Source organism: Homo sapiens, chromosome 11 (genome assembly GCF_000001405.40).
Source record: "Homo sapiens chromosome 11, GRCh38.p14 Primary Assembly".
In the NCBI taxonomy this organism is placed as follows: domain Eukaryota; kingdom Metazoa; phylum Chordata; class Mammalia; order Primates; family Hominidae; genus Homo; species Homo sapiens.
In genome coordinates this window covers 38,617,935-38,635,778 of record NC_000011.10, presented here as the reverse complement: position 1 = coordinate 38,635,778, position 17,844 = coordinate 38,617,935, and the positions used below count along the sequence as shown (strand labels likewise).

The following is a 17,844-nucleotide window of genomic DNA, read 5'->3' as shown; positions in this document are numbered from 1 at the left end:
ATATACCCAAAAGAAAGCAAATCAATACATTGAGAAGATATCCTTACTCCCATGTTTATTGCAGCGCTATTCACAACAGTCAAAATTTGGAACCAGCCTAATTGTCATCAACAGATGAATGGATAAAGAAAATGTGGTACATATACACGATGGAGCAGTATTCAGCTATAAAGAATGAGACCCCGCATTTGCAACAACAAGGATGGAATTGGAAGTCATTATGTTAAGCAATATAAGCCAGGCAAAGGAAGATAGCTGATTTTGGAAGCTAAAATTAAAATAATTGAACTCATAGAGATAGAGAGTAGAATAATGGTTACCACAGGCTGGGAAGGGTAGTTGCAGGGAGAGACGGGATAGTTATTGGGTACAAAAATAGTTAAATAGAATAAATAAGATCTAGTATTTGACTATAACAGGGTGACTACAGTCAAAAATAATTTATTCTATATTTAGAAATAACAAAAAGTATATAATTTGATTTTTCATAACACAAAGAAAGGATACATGCTTGAAGTGATGAATATCCCATTTACCCTGATTTGATTATCACACAGTTTGCCTGTGTCAAAATATCTCATGTACCCCATAAATATATACACCTACTATGTACTCACCAAGTGAAAAATTAATTATAAAAAAAAATTGACCCAGACTTTTGGCTTCTTTTCAATCTATAATAGCACAGTTGATTCCTGAGCTGTGATGACTTTCCACTGACCATACTACTGCAATGATGTTATTCTGGGCCAAACTTCGGAATCAATTCTTGTCTGCTGCCTGATTCAATTATTTTTAATGCACCCTGGTCAGTCCATAAATGTGATCTTTGAATGTCTATGAACATAAATATTTTGTTATAACGATCATAGTTTAAATTTGATGGTTAGCAACAAGATAGAGTATTTGGAAGTTTATTGAGGTTTTGAGAGATAGTTTTCACTGTACCCATACATTTGACTTTTAATTTCTCACTCATATAAACATCTGGAAATTACTATTTTTGCATAAATTACTTTGTATACAAGAACCCAGCATGTTACAATTTGCACCTTTATTAGTCTGGAGGTTTGAAATGGGTTTTATTACTCATGCCCTTGGTTCTATTAAGGAGGCTCACTCTTTGGAAGGATGAAGGAGGACAATTGTATTAATAAAGCATTATTTTTCGGCCGGGCGCGGTGGCTCACGCCTGTAATCCCAGCACTTTGGGAGGCCGAGGCGGGCGGATCATGAGGTCAGGAGATCGAGACCATCCTGGCTAACACGGTGAAACCCCGTTTCTACTAAAAATACAAAAAATTAGCCGGGCGAGGTGTCTGGCGCCTGTAGTCCCAGCTATGCGGGAGGCTGAGGCAGGAGAATGGCGTGAACCCGGGAGGCGGAGCTTGCAGTGAGCCGAGATGGCGCCACTGCACTCCGGCCTGGGCGACAGCGAGACTCCATCTCAAAAAAAAAAAAAGAATTGTTTTTCATGTTCAAATAAAGCGGAAGTTATAGAAAACATTATCATATAAAAATATTTCTTTTTAGAAAATCATAAGTAGCAATGAACTATATATTATAAACATTAAAATAGCCAAATCATATTTAAGTTTTCTTAACACAATGGAAACTGTCTAAACAAGTCATCTAGTCTTTACCCATTATAACCTTAGATTTAAAAAAATTAGATTGACTTTGAAACAATCCCAAAATAGGTGGAATAATTAACAGAGCTGTAATCATTGTTATAAACATCCTGAGAAGTCACTCTAATAAAACTGATACATTAAAATCTCCAAAATAATCAGGTGCAACTAAACATGATTAATGGTGAACCAACTAAATTCACGTGCAAAGCATATTAAGCACTTGTGGACTTTGACTTGTATCAAACTTCCTCTTTAATCTGATTCTTTTATAAGAGCAAATATACTAGCAGTTTTACTTTGCTCACATATTTTAATCCCATGCTATTTTTATTGCAGTGGATTTTTACTTGCTAAAGTAGAAAGAAGATCCCAACATTTGATGAGAAAATATACAGAAGGTAATTTCTACAAAATGTTAAATGTTTTTATTCAATGCTCTATCCTGATTTTTTAAAAAAGTCCTGGCTCACGCCTGTAATCCCAACACTTTGGGAGGCCGAGGCGGGTGGATCACAAAGTCAGGAGTTCGAGACCAGCCTGGCCAACATAGTGAAACCCATCTCTACTAAAAATACAAAAAATTAGCCAGGCATGGTGGCATGCACCTGTAATGCCAGCTACTCGAGAGGCTGAGGCAGGAGAATCACTTGAACCTGGGTGGCAGAGGTTGCAGTGAGCCGAGATCACACCACTGAACTCCAGCCCTGGCAACAGTGTGAGACTTTTTCACCAATGTAATGAAATTATTTTTGACACCAGTGATGTTTCCTTTGAGGAAGTTCCCGCTTTTACAATAACAATAACTAGAACCATAATAATGAGTAGACAGACTGGACATTATTTATTTGGTCTGGGAAAGCACTGCTTAACATAACTCCTCTGTATATGCCTGAAATGTAACCATGAAACATACAGTTGCTTTTTACATCAAGGATCAAACTCTTGAAATTTTTTCCTTATGCTCTTTTTCACTAGACCCTTTCCATTGCCTTTCCTTTGGCTGTTCTTACTTTTCTTAGCCTCAATAGTTACCTTCCATTTAGCCTACCACCACGAGGGAAAAAAAGAAAAAATTAAAAACTGACTAATATTTTCTAAACCTGTGTTTCTAGATGTGGATCTCTCTTTTGGGCAGATGAAAGTATATTGAGTTTACACATGGTGACAGTACAGATTTGTTTTTAATTACAAAAGAACATGGCTACTGCCTTTGAATTCTCAACATTCAGCGTGGTCAGCAGTAGTAAACCTGGCAATTTGAGGGCAACCCAAGTAATAGCAGCAACAGCAACAACAGACCTTAATCAAGCAATTAATATGTGCCATGTCTCTTGCTAGACATTTTAACAAGAGTTATTTTACCTATGTCACACACTTGTAATTATCTGCATAGTAAATAAATGCTTTTAAGGCATAGGTCACATGTCTGACTCACAGCTGCGATGTGGTGGATCCAAATCTCTCTGAGGCCAAATACTGCCCAGCTCGAATGAACGCTATGCTCCATGCCTGAAACAACTGCTCCAGCCCTCAGAAAAGAGTCTCCCATTCAACTGAAGTCTGCATATCAGATTCCCGTGGGATAATTCATAAAGGCTCCTTGAAGTTAATTCTGGGTATATCCTGAAATAGAGGGTCTCCTCTGTTTTTTCTTCTTTTTTTCCACAACTGAGGAGACACTAGTGCCTACTTATCTCAATAATGGGATTTCTCTTTGATGCAATTGCAGTTTTTACTAGGCCTTTCAATAAATATGTTGAATATTTTTCCCTGTTGTACGTGTCTGTGTGCTGCAGTGCCCTTTCTACTTTCATATCAGCTTATTTCCTTTTAGCTTTTGCTACATTTATCAAATATCACAATTGATGTTGAGGAAGATGATGATGATGATGTGTAGGTTTCTGTATTATTTTAATTAAAACCAATCTTTTATTAAACAGCAGATAGACTTAAGAAAATTAAATTAATCTATCTATGAGAATCTGAACTACAAAATTACAGTTGCCAAAGAGTCAAAACATCCATAATATAGAGATGTGCTGAGGACATCCTTGGTGAGTGGAAGTCCATGTTGCTGAGCCTATGTGTAACCTCCATCCCTGCCACCGTGGCCACTTTGTTCATGGGCCCATTGGGTGATGACAGGGGTGGATGGAAAAAGAGGCTGAGTGGTGTCCACAGAACAGGTCGTCCTATCCACTTGATTATTAAAATCCTCCTCTGCTGAGGTCACCTATTGGTAAGCACTCACATAGGATACAAATATCTTCACAGTTTTAGACCACTCAGAGAGGTCCATCCACATAACTCATCCCCAAATTTATTTGTCACCAATTTTCCAATCATGCTTCTTCCAAGTTCCTGACCATCCAGCCAAACCATTGGCTACAGCCAATGAATCAGTATATAATCACACATCTGGCCATTTGTCCTTCCATGCAAAGTGCACAACCAGGTGCACTGCTCGAAGTTCTGCCCAATGGGAAGATTTCCCTTAACTACTGTCCTTCAGGGATGTCCTAGGAAGGGGCTGTGGTGCTGCATCTGTCCACTTTGGGATGCTGCCTGCCTATCATGCAGAACCATCTGTGAACCAGGCCCTTGTTTTCTTTTTCTCTCTCAACTGATCATAGGAACCTCCCCATGAGGCCACTGGTGCAGGCTGGGAAAGAAGGCAGAATGGCAGGAGTGGAGACCATGGGCATTTGAGTTACTTCCTCATGTAACATCAGTGCAGACTGGGAGAGAGAAGCAGGGTGGCAGCCAAGAGGCCATAGTTATTTTAGCCACTTCCTTATGTAACTTACTTGTGCTTTCAGGACCTACTCGAGCCTGATCACATATATACCACTTCCATTTGATGATGGAATGCTGCTGGGCATGCCCAACTTTATGGCTAGATGGGTCAGAAAGCACCCAGTTCATGATAGGCAGTTCAGGTCACATGGTGATTTGATGACCCATGGTCAAATGTTCAGTTTCCACCAAAGCCCAGTAACAGGCCAAGAAATGTCTCTCAAAAGGAGAGTAGATGTCTGCAGAAGATGGCAGGGCCTTGCTTCATAATCCTAGAGGCCTCCACTGAGACTCACGTATCACGACCTGCCAAAGGCTTCAAACAGCATCTGTATCTGTCACTGATACCTCCAGCACCATTGGATCTGCTGGGTCATATGGCCCAAGTGTCAGAAAAACTTGCACAGCAGCCTGGGCCTGTTACAGAGCCTTCTCCTGTTCCGGACCCCTCTCAAAACTGGCAGCATTTTGGTTCACTTGATAAATAGGCCAGAGTAACACACCCAAATGAGGAATGTGTTGCCTCCAAAATCCAAATAGGCCCACTAGACGTTGTAACTCTTTCTTGGTTGTAGGAGGGGCCAAATGCAGCAACTTATCTTTCACCTTAGATGGAATACCTCGACAGGCCCCACACCACTGGACCTCTAGAAATTTTACTGAGATAGAGGGTTCCTGAATTTTAGTCGGATTTATTTCCCATCCTCTGTCAAGCAAATATCTCACCATTAAGCCCAGTTTGTTTTCTGCTTCTTGCTCACTGGATCCAATCAGCATTATGCCATCAATGTAATGGACCAGTGTGATGTCTTGTGGAAGCGAAAAGCAATCAAATATCTCGGAATGAGATTATGACACAAAGCTGGAGAGTTGATATATCCCTGAGGTAGGACAGTAAAGGTATATTGCTGGCCTTGTCAGCTGAAGGCAAATTGTTTCTGGTGGGCTTTATGGACAGGAATGGAGAAAAAGGCATTTCCCAGTCAATGGCTGCATACCAGTTACCAGGAAATGTGTTAATTTGCTCAAGTGATGAAACCACATCTGGTACAGCAGCTGCAATTGGAATCACCACTTGGTTAAGCTTACAATAATCCACTATTGTTCTCTGATCCATCTGTCTTCTGCACAGGCCAGATACTAGAATTGAATGGAGATGTGGTGGGAATCACCACCTCTGCATCTTTCAAGTTCTTAACGGTGAAAGTAATCTCCACAATCTATCCAGGGATGGGATATTATTATTGATTTACTATTTTTCTAGGTAGAATCAGCTCCCATGGCTTCCATTTGGCCTTTCCAACAATAATAGCCTTCACCTTGCCAGTCAGGGAGACAATGTGGGGGTTCTGCCAACTGCTAATTAGATCTATGCCAATTATGTATGCTGGCACTGGGGAAATGACCACAGGGAGTGTCTAGGGAACCATTGGACTCACTGTGAATTGAACCTGAGCTAAAAGTCCATTAATTACCTGACCTCCATAAGTTCCTACTTTAACTGGAGGGCCACAATGACATTTTGAGTACCCTGGAATCAACAGCTCAGAGCCAGTGTCTAGTAGTCCCTGAAATCTCTGATCATTTCCCTTTTCCCAGTGCACAGTTACCCTGTCAAAAGGCCAGAGGTCTCCCTGGAGAAGGTTGGGAGAAAGATTAACAGCATATAAATTATGGATAGCATAGTGGGGTCCTTCCTCAATGGGACTCGGCCTTCCCTGCATTAAAGGGGCTCTGGGTGTGTAAACGGGCTCAAGTCTGGAAATTGATTGAGGAGCCATAATTCTCTTTTTTAATAATTCAAATTAGTCTTTTGTCTATTCGACCTGGAAGTTTTCTGCTCATGTAAATTAAGTAGAAATGCAGTAGGCTTTGTATCAATTTCACTTCTAGGAAGACTGTGATTAATCAGCCGATGCCAAAGCTCTATAAGAGTAAGACTATTCTGATTGCCGCTTTGGCTCTGCTGTTCATTACAGTAGCAACACTAACTTTGCCTTGGATGATTGAGTGCCACTACTTTGCCCCTGCCACCTTGGGATCCAATTATTCCCCAATTATTCCCATTGAATTTAAATTTTGTAGTTGAGTGACTGAGGTTCCCACTATTAGATCTGACATACAGAGAAGAGCAATTACAGGGCTCTTCAAAGATGCAGGTGCTGCCCTCACAAATCTGTTTCACAAGGCATTGGTCAAGGGACTCTACCAGCTGGGATGAGTAGGTCTAAAGTGACTAATCCACTCCACTATCCCAATATCCCTAAGCCTTTGGATCCCTTCCTTTATATTAAACCAAGAGAGATCAGGTGTTTCCAGCTTGCTCACAGTGGGCCATCCTTTAATCCATATTTCAGCTAACCCAACCAATAAACTATTAGAACCTTTTTTAATTCTCCAAGATGCAACATTAAAAGCAGAGTCCCTATTTAGTGGGCCCAAATAAATAAATTCAGCCTGATCCAAGTCTATGTTCCTTCCACCATTATCCCATACCCTTAATATCCATTCTCATGCCTGCTCTCCAGATTTCTGTTTATGTAAATTAGAAAACTCAAACAGTTCTTTTTGAGTGTAGCACACCTCCTCATGGGTCACACTTTCAATCTCACCTCTAGGGGTCCACCAGGACTTTAGTCTAGATATAGGTCTAGAAGCAAACAGAGGTGTTGGGGGTGGCTCCTGAGGAGAATCAACATTATTTTGCCAGGCAACTGCCTCAGGGGAGGCCATTACTGTTACCTCAGGCAGTGCGGGGTTTATCTCCTCAGACAAAGGTAGAAAGGCTGATGGCAGCATGGGTTGGGGAGGGGATGTTGCCACTACTGGAGATAGGGAAGCTGTTTCTTCTGGCAAAAAAGGTTCATCAGAGTTTACAAGCTCAGTGTCCCCAGCTTCATCAGAATACACCCACATTTCCCCATTCCAAGTTGCAGGATCCCATTCTTTTCCAATCAATGCCCTCACTTTAACAGTAGGCACCTAGTGAAGCTGTGCATGCATCTTTCATTGCAGATCAGCCACTCACACGATAAGAGCTTGTGTCTGCTTTTCTACAATTTCAGCTCTTCAGCTCTTTCTCTACAGGAGATAAGACTCTCACTCGGGGCAATCTTAGCAGATTTGAGGCTCAGTATCTGCTTCTGAAGGCAGGAGTTAGAATCCCTGAGTTCATCATTTTCTTTTGTCACTTTGTCCAATGAACTTAGGAGCAACCAACAAGCTTCATATGTTCCTTGGTTCTCCACATACAGTCAAAGGTATTATGTATAGAGTCACTAAATTTCTTGCCTCTCATGAGCGGTGAATCATGAATGTCAAATGCATTTATTTTGCATAACTCTCCACACAGGTCACACCAAGGGCCATCAGTGTTCTCCATACTATTAGAAGTACAGTCCTTAGCATTTTTGGGTCTAGTCATATTAAGCAGCCAACTCCAGAAACACCCAAAACAAAAAAAGAACTCCATCCTTAATATTCCGTTCCTCTAGAACCACTCCTGGTACCAAAATTTGTATTAGGATTCTGTAGAGGAATAGAACTAACAGGATATATATATATAAAATAAGTAACAGGGTATATATATTTTCATATATATTATTTAAGTGATTTTAATAACACATATATATAAGTAAATAAAGGAAAGTTTATTAAGTAGTGTTAACTCACACGATCACGAGGTCCCACAATAGTCCACCTGCAAGCTGAGGAGCAAGGAAACCAGTCTGAGTTCCAAAGCTGAAGAACTTAGAGTCCGATGTTCGAGGGCAGGAAGCATCCAGCATGGGAGAAAGATGTAGGCTGGGAGGGTAAGCCAGTCTAGCCTTTTCACATTTTCCTGCCTGCTTTATACTCTGGCCACACTGGCAGCTGATTAGATGGTGCCCAGCCAGATTAAGGGTGGGTCTTCCCTTACCAGTCCACTGACTCAAATGTTAATCTCCTTTGGCAACACCCTCACAGACACACCCAGGATCAATACTTTGCATCCTTCAATCCAATCCAGTTAATACTCAGTAGTAACCATCACAAAGGTGAAATCTAGAGCTTCTTTCTTTAACACAATCTATTTCTGTACTCTGCATGAGACCAAAGTTTAAAAATTGAGAAGTTCATATCACATGTCTCATTTCCAGGTAATGTTTATATTCTTTTTTCTTAGTATAAAACAAAAATGTTAGATTTAGTTATTATAACTCTGGTAACTTACAGATGACTACAAATAGCATCAAAAAGTGAGTTTTATGTCCTCTCCCCTTAAGTCTGGATTGGTCTCTGACTGCTTTGACAAATACAGTGTGGAAGAAATGATGCCATACAAGTTTTGGGCTTAGAATTCAAAGGGACCTATAGTTTCTTCCTTGGTCTAAGTGGAGCCTTGAGCTAAAATATAAGTTTGACTATATTGCTGGAGATTTCATGGAAAGGCACTAAGATTACAGGGAAAGGATAGCCCTGCCTGCTAGCTCTCTCCTCCAAGATCCCACACATTTGTGTAAAGTCATCTTGGACATTCCAGACCAGAAAAATTATTAGCTGAACTTCTCCAAATCACCCCAGTTAATCCCAAGTGAGCAATTGAATTGTCCAAGTAAGCACAACTTGAATTCTTCACCCACTTAATTGGGAGATAAAAGGAACATGTATTTATGTCACTAAACTTTGAATGAGTGCATTATGAAGCATTCGTATCTGGAACAATAGATATTAAAGCTTCTTTTAAGCAAAGAGGAAGACGACCATGTCTGTGATATTATTTTAGAATGTAGGGAAAAAGCCATGCTTTATCACCCTACCACAAAACTGTAATGAAAACAAAATAATTATCTCTTTATCAGTTTAATCCAAATAGAAGCTTCTTTAACTCTGAAGTAAAAGGGATCGATGCTTGTCACATAAAAGGATAATTGTCAAGTAGTACAATTAGCACATGCAAAAACTTAAAACTATCTCAATATATTATTGTTTTTAAAATAGTAAAAGTTTAGGAAAATTTATAATAGTATATTATATAGACTTCATAATAATGACATTCAAATGTATGCCCAATATAAGAAATTGTTTTAACAAATATTTATTGACTTCTATTATATAAAAAGCTATATGTCTGACCTTCCACTACATGACAAGCACTGGAACTCATATCTTACTGAATATAATGAATATAACTAAATATATAGGTAGCTAGATGCTTCATGTCTGTCCAGAACATTAACAGCCCCAAATATGTATCACTGTATTTAAGTGACTTTAGTAAGATAATTTGAAAAGAACACATCTGTACAAATTTAGAAAGCTGTGTAACAGAAAAGAGTGCACTAAAGAGTAAAATTGTACATAATGATTCTATTTTAATCATAATAAATTGTAGTGGAATTACTCAGGTTATCACAAGGGCAGAAAATGGCTTGGAAAGCAGTGGTTAAAAAAAGGACATTACTCATATTTTTATGATTTTTTCTTAGACCTACTCCAGATATGCAAGAAAGCATTTTAATCTACAGTTAAAATACCCTCATCAGCCTGGGAAAGGTGGTGTGCTTGAAAAAGATGTGAAAATTTAATTTAATGGACTACCCTAAAATAGTGTCTCAGTGCGACTATCTACATTCACAATATTAATGTTCATATCTTATTTGAAAGAACACTATTAGTATAACCAGGTCACTCATGCAAATAAGGAGACTCCCATCTTATAATAACAACTTCCCACCACAATTTGATCAGGCTCAGTGACCTAAAGGTAATAAATGCCTAAGCCAACAAACCAAACAGCAGATAGATAAATCAGCTGCCAATAACAGTCTTTCAAGCCATCCAACCCTCTGGGATTGATGTGTTTAAGTAAGAAAAATATACTGTGTGGTGTTGAATCACTAATGATGTTGTAAAGCAAATAGTATTTAAATGATTTACCTTGCAATATCTGTGTACTAATTATATTATCAATACTCTATGAATAGGTGATATAAAGAAAATAGAAATAAGATTTATCATGTTGTGAGTTTGAAAATCATGAGCAATCAGCTACTTCTTTGAATCAAAACACAAAAATGACAATCATCATGAAGCGTAAAAATTGCATTTGTTGAAGGTACAGTTGTGGGTTATGCTTTTATTTTCCAATGAGCCTCCAAGGTCCTAACTTTTGATGATCATAGTAGATATATTCTATTCTCTTGAAGAATACACTGTGATAATATTAAGATAATGAGTTCCACCTGCCAAACACATAAACAAACAGAATAGAACAGGTAAAGGTAACAGGACACAGAATAAAATAAAAATCATAAACAATAAGATGTCTGCTGGTTCTTGTGCCTTAACTGGTTGGAGGTTCAGGGAAGATTTGAGGCAATAAATTAATGTCTTACAGGAATCCTTCTCTATGTTTTCCTCTGATCCTTACATTAGGACTACAAGTCCATATGATGACACATCCCATATTGAGTACACTTAGTAATTGAGACTAGAATCAACTACTACATTTGAGTCACTATGCAGCCTTGACTTTCTTATAACTGCCTTAGTTTCCTTATCTGGGCCCCAGGATCCTTATCCAAAAGGGAGTGGAATACTAGCATCTACCTCACATAATTATAAAAATTTAGTTAGTAACAAATACAAAGTTCTCAATGTCTGACATAATGTAAGTTCCATAGAAGAATAAAATATGATTCTCAATTGTTATCATGATCCTGACAATGACTAATGACTTGGGACTTCACATCTTCCTACAATACCTTCTAGCAGATAAGACTGCAGTTTTCTTCTCATAAATGGCAGAAACTTAACTTTAAATTTAAATTAACATTAAATTGTAAAATGTACTCTTTACTGTGCTAAACAAATCTTTGTAATGATCCCTAACTAACTACTGTAAGTATAAACATTTGAATCACTGACTAGGATGAAAAAATGTATCACAGCCCATTCCTAGAGTTGTAAGTGGGGTCAATCCTAACTGAACCAAAACATGTTCACATCGAATTTCAAAATTTTTTTTTTTTTTTTTTTTTTTTTGAGACCGAGTCTCGTTCTGTGCCCAGGCTGGAGTGCAGTGGTGCGATCTGGGCTCACTGGAAGCTCCGCCTCCCGGGTTCACGCCATTCTCCTGCCTCAGCCTCCCGAGTAGCTGGGACTACAGGTGCCCGCCACCACACCTGGCTAATTTTTTGTATTTTTAGTAGAAACGGGGTTTCACCGTGTTAGCCAGGATGGTCTCGATTTCCTGACCTCGTGATACACCAGCCTCGGCCTCCCAAAGTGCTAGGATTACAGGTGTGAGCCACGGTGCCCAGCCTCAAATATGTTTATGTATGCATTAGCACACTCCAATATTTGAATCAGTATCTGGGGGCTTACTATATATACAATACATGTGTGGTGTGCTGAATGTAGTGTTATGTTCCATTAGATAGTCTAACATTTATTAACCTATTAGATAAATATAGATAAATATGTGTGTGTAAGTGTGTGTTTGGATATACACACTTACAGCCAAAATGTGTGTATGTGGGAAGAGAAGGCAATTTTTTTAATTTGAAGTTTTTATATAGTAGGGAAAATTGAAACAACAGGATTTCAGTAGGTAAGAAATGGGATAATTTAAATTAAAGAATATTAAGCAGCATGGAACTTTGCAGTTTGGTGCAATAAACTGACAAAAAAGTTTATATGGGAATAGTGAGAACATAACAAAACTACAATTTGTAATATGCTTTAAAAGTAGTAGATAATGAAATTGAAGGAAAGATGGGCATCACGGTTAAGAGAAGAAAATTGGACTTGATTCCAAGAGGGGAGCCAAATAAATCCTTGAGTCCTCTACTGATATGATATAATCAGAATTTTATAAGGATTGGTCTGGCTTAAATGGACAGAGACTGCAGAAGTTAAAAGAATTGGTTGCCAGATGGTTATAGTAATTTAGGGTTGGGGTGATAGAGCAGTGGACTGAGGTAGTGCAGTGGTACAAGCAGAAACAATCAAGGACAGGCTTTCATGGGAAACTGAATTTAGAAGATGGAGGGAAAATATCCAGACAATCATTTTTCTGAGATTTCTAGTTTAGTATGTAAAAATTTATGGTAGTACTAATATAGACGGGTGCAGGGAGAGAAAAGCTAATATTATAGAGTGAATGCCAATTTTAATTGCTGAACTTGTGATTCTTGAATGAAGAAGTTTAAAATGGAGAAATTTCAGCAAAAGCTGAGATTTATATACATAGGAGATTATGTATATAGGAGTGAGGCCCATGTGAGAGGTCAAACCTAGAGCATCTCAATGAAATCCCCCGTATTTCATATATTTCAATGCCAAACCTGAAAATTACACTAGACTTCTGAATTTCAAGTCAAGGAATGCTCATTTAAAATATCTCCTTTAGTTAGATCTCCTTTTATCAATTCTGCCACTTTCATTAATTCTACCAATTCTGCTGAAAAGAATAAAAATGCATTTTCACAGAGTGATTCCAATGACTGGAATCCAACTTATTATTTATATATAATTGTGTTGTCTTTATTTAGATTAAATTTGTTGTTTTGTACAAATCAATGGTACCTAAGAATTTAAGCTATCCAAAATCTCTGTTTTGTAAATTGTCTTTAGTTATTAAGGAAATAAAGCTTGTAGTCTAATTTGTGGAATCAGGAAGTTTGCTTTGACTAAAATAAAAGAAGAATGAAGTTATAATCAATTTAATGTCTTCTGCTCTCAGTAAAAAGCAAGAGGCACATCTTACCTTATAAGCTAAATGCAAAACAGATGTTGTTCAGTGAGTTTGACTCTGGACCATTTTAATTTTTTACTTTTAAGACAACATTTAAAGATGCCTGATTGTTCTAATCACAAGTGTCAACCATTCATTAGCTTAATGGAAAAAGGTAACAGATTATGTATATAATAGTCACCCGGGGAGAAGATATACATTTACAGCCCATAACTCTTATGTAGATAGATTGTAGACATAATAATCTTCCACAGGAGAGAGAGAGGTAAACAATTACTCTAATGGAAAGCAACAAAATGTGATTAACATTAAATGCTACCCAAAGACAGATATTTGTGGTGAGAATGACATAGAGGACAACTGTATAACTTGGCCTTATATTTTGGACAACATAGGTAAGGAAAACAGCTGTGGTGAGATGCCTCAGGTGAAGAACTGTTGTAGATTTGCTTTTTATTTTTGAAGGAATCCAAAATATATTTTTCCTGGCATGGTATTTTCCTGGCATGGTAAATTGAGTTCCTAAAGTGGATTCCAAAAAATAACTCAATTCTCTGTGAATATGGTGAGCTATAACTCCCATGATTGTATTAGTTTTTATGTCGCAGTTGATGTTAAGATAGAGAGATTATCTTCCTGGTCTTTTGTATATAATTACATGAGCCCTTAAAAGCAGAGAACTTTCTTCATCTGATGGCAGAAGTCAGAGAGATTTAAGGCATGAGAAGGACTAGATGTACAGCTGATGAACTGATGATTCAATGGACCACGTGAAAAGAAATTTGGTGGCTTTAGGAACTGAGAAGGATCACTGGCTAAAAGCCAGCAAGCAAAGGAGAACCTCAGCCATACCCTGCAACGAACTAAATTATGCCAATAATGGAATGAACTTGAACAATTCTCCCATGAGAATCCATGTGACGAACAACTTGAGTTTGAACTTGTAAGACCCTGAACATAGAACTTAGGCAAGCCCACCTCTAGACTTTAGACTTATGGAACTCTGACTTTGAAAAAATAACGTTAGAGAAAAAATTATTGGTTTTATTAAAGCTCAAAAATCAAACACTTGCCATGTGTTAAATGCCTACATTATGGACTTTTAAATATCATTTTAAATATAAAATATGAATAGCTGTGAATAAGCAAAATGAAGATGTGCCATGATTCAAAGTTAATTTAAAAGAGAGATGCTTAGGAAGAGTGCAATAATATAGCCAAAATGCCATAATGACATTTTTGGTCAACGACAGGCCACAATGATGGTGGTTCCATAAAATTATAATGGAGCTCAAAGATTCCTATCACCTAGTGACACTGTAGCTGTTGTGAGGTCGCGGCACAATGCATTACTCACTTTTTTCTAATGTAAACACCCTGCTGCTCTGCTGGTCGTAGAAATGTCTAGCACATACGATTATGTGCAGCATATAATACTTGATAATTACAATAAATGACTATGTTACTGGTTTAGGTATTTACTATGCTCTACCTTTTATCATTATTTTAGTGTGTACCCCTTCTACTTATAAACAAAAGAACATAAGTGTAAAACAACCTTAGGCAGGACTTTCAGCACATATTGCAGAAGAAGGCATTGTTGTCATAGGAGATGACAGCTCCATGTGGATTATTGTCCCTGAAGACTTTCCAGTGAAGCAAAATGTGGAGGTGAAAGACAGTGATTTGAATGATCCTGACCCTGTATGTGTTTGTGTCTTCGTTCTTAAAAAAATATTTAAAAAGATATATATGTATATATATATGAATTTTAAATAGGAAAACGCTTATAGAATAAGGACATAAATAAAATATTTTGTACAGCTGTACAATGTGTTTGTGTTTTGAGCTCTTATTACAAAAGAGTAAATAAGTTAAATAAATCAAGTTTATAAAGTTAGACATTTACAGTAAGCTAAGGTTAATACATTATTGAAAAAGAAACTTTTTTTATACATCTACTATATAGTAGTGCACAGTAATGTCCTAGATCTTCACATTCACTAAACACTCACTCACTGGCTCACCCAGAGCAGCTAGCAGTTCTGCAAGCTCCATTCACGGGGTCTATACGGTATAGCTTTTTTAAAAAATATATTTTATATTGTATTTTTACTGTACCTTTTCTACATTTAGATATGTTTAGATACACAAATACTTACCTTTATAATTGCCAACAGTATGCAGGACAGTAACATGCTGTATAGCTTTACAGCACAGGAGCAACTGGTTGTACCATGTAGCCTAGGTGTGTAGTGGGCTGTACCATCGAGGTTCATGTAGGTACACTTGGTGATGTTTGCACCAAGACAAAATCACCTTATGGTACATTTTTTAGACTGTATCCTTGGCATTAAGTAACACATGACTACACATATATCTTTATTTTGCATATTAAGTATTAAACTGAGAGAGTATTTCAAAAAAATATATTTGACTTATGTAGTCAGGCTTATCAATATATGACAAAATGCAACATGTGGCTAAATATAAATTCTGAGTTTATATTTTCTTTAAATTACCATCATATTATTTATTAAGTATCTAATTTATTTGCACTTACATATGAGAAAAAGAATGGTACTTTTGATCTACAGTTGCCTCATGCTAAGATTTCTCTTAATAAGGACTTAAATATTTAAGAAATTTCCTCTTTATAAGGAAATAAATAAAAATAAAGGTCATTTTATTGCAAAAGTGATTAAAAGAAATAACAAATATTCATCTCTATTTTTAAGGGAGGCTGATCCCGGGTGCACTGTGGCAGGTGGCAGTATAGATTTTTGTGAAGCAGCAGTGTGCTGTGATATGAGTAGCAGATGAAGAAGGAAGGAAATGAAGTCACTCAATTCTTATATGGCATAATTACTCTTATATTTGGAATCAACATGTGGAATTTCTAGATGTGAGTAACTCATTGTGCTGTGCCCTCCTGCTCATTTCTTTTCTATAGCTACAATGTCACTAGGTGATAGGAATCTTTTAGCTCCATTATAATTTTATGGAACCACCATCATTGTGGCCTGTCATTGCCCAACATTCCATTGTGGCATTTTGGCTATATTATTGCACTCTTCCTAAGCATCTCTCTTTTAAATTAACTTTGAATCATGGCACATCTCCATTTTGCTTATTCATGGCTATTCATGAATATTCACGTTGCATTTCCCATGTATTTTTGTCTCTCTCTTGTGATTATTTTGCCACTCATTTCTAGTCAAATGTGTCTGTCTCCCAAATTTGTGGAAAATAATAATTCCTTGATTTTCCTTTCTCATTCTTTTACGGTTTTTTTTTACATTTTTTTCTCCCAGTATTATGAAGCTTTTTGAATCTGTTGGGCATGTATTTTTTTCTATATGATCACACTGAAGAATACAAAATATCAACTCTGCCTATTTATATTAGGGTTACTTATTTTGATGGCTTTAATATTAAGTGATCATCATTTTAAATCATGATTCAAGAGTAATAAATGTGACTTGATCTCTACTTGATTGTACAAATGAACCATGAAAATGATCCAGCATGATTTGCGGATGGCCAGATTAGAAAACACTTTGAATTATTAGAGTTGAAGCTTCTGAATAAAACAGATAAGTTATTTTTCACTCACTCTCTCCACTATCTTCATTTTTCTTTGTCTTCCTTCCATGATATTACAGTTAAGCAATTTTCAGTAAGATCACAAATCTGTTTCTAAATGCAAAATACTTTTTAAATTCCTTATCACATAACCTATCAACATCTGATAATATTGGCTATTCCCTCCTTAAATCACCCTTACCTCTGAATATCTTAGTTTGTGTTCTTCCTACTCTCTCCATCATTTCTTGCCCATATTCCTATTTGTTCCCATCCTCTTCTTCCCAGTCATGAAATGTTGGAGTCCTCAAAGTTCTCTCATAGGTCTAATTTCTTATTCTGTATTTTCCCTGTAGACGATCTCAACTACCAATTATAAGCAGATGACTACTCCTTATTTTGCATAACGAATATAGACTTCTCTCAATTTATCTAACTGCCAGTTTACAATTTCCTCTTAGATGCCTGACAGCAGCTGAAACTTAATATGCCAGAAGCCAAGGTTTCAGACTTTATTCATTTGTTAGTTATCTATCGCTATGCAACAAATTACCACCAAACTGGGTGGATTAGTAAAAATCTTTATGTATTTATTTTCTCTCACAGTTTCTCTAGTTAAGAAATTTGAAAATGGCCTGACTAGATTATTTTGGCTTGAGGACTCTCAGGAGATTCACTTCAGATTTTGTTCATTACTGCAACCATTTGAAGGCTTTATTGCAGATAGAGAATACTCTTCCAAAGTGCCTTAATTACATGATGGACTAATCGGTGCCGGCAGTTATCAGAAGTCCTCAGATACTCTCCACAAGTACGTTTCTTGAGGGTTAAGTATCCTCATAACAACGGGTGACTTCTTCCAGAGTGAGAAATCCAAGAGACAAAGCTGGATGCTGCAAAATTATCTACACAGAATTCTATTGGTTACCCAGGTCAGTCATGATGCAGAAGGAGAAGGCAGGTCTCCAGAATGTGAGGATAATTGGCAGGGCACAAGAAGTCACCGCACTAAAATAGTGAGGATTATTGGAGCCATCTTGAAACCTCACTTCCATACTGCATATGCTTATATTTTTCTATACTTTTGGT

The 17,844-nt window shown here is 37.3% G+C and overlaps 1 long non-coding RNA gene across 2 annotated transcripts in view; it reads left to right on the top strand.

Annotated features, from left to right (window-relative positions):
* The window catches only part of LINC02759 (long intergenic non-protein coding RNA 2759), a 28,093-nt gene extending 10,578 nt beyond the window's left edge, over positions 1–17,515 (top strand). Inside the window, exons 2-5 of one of the 2 annotated variants that reach the window (NR_120555.1) lie at positions 684–808; positions 1,971–2,032; positions 15,909–16,075; positions 17,467–17,515. This is a non-coding gene — a long non-coding RNA (long intergenic non-protein coding RNA 2759). The other variant, NR_120554.1, reaches the window with a different exon arrangement.
* Positions 17,516–17,844: the final 329 nt, after the last annotated feature.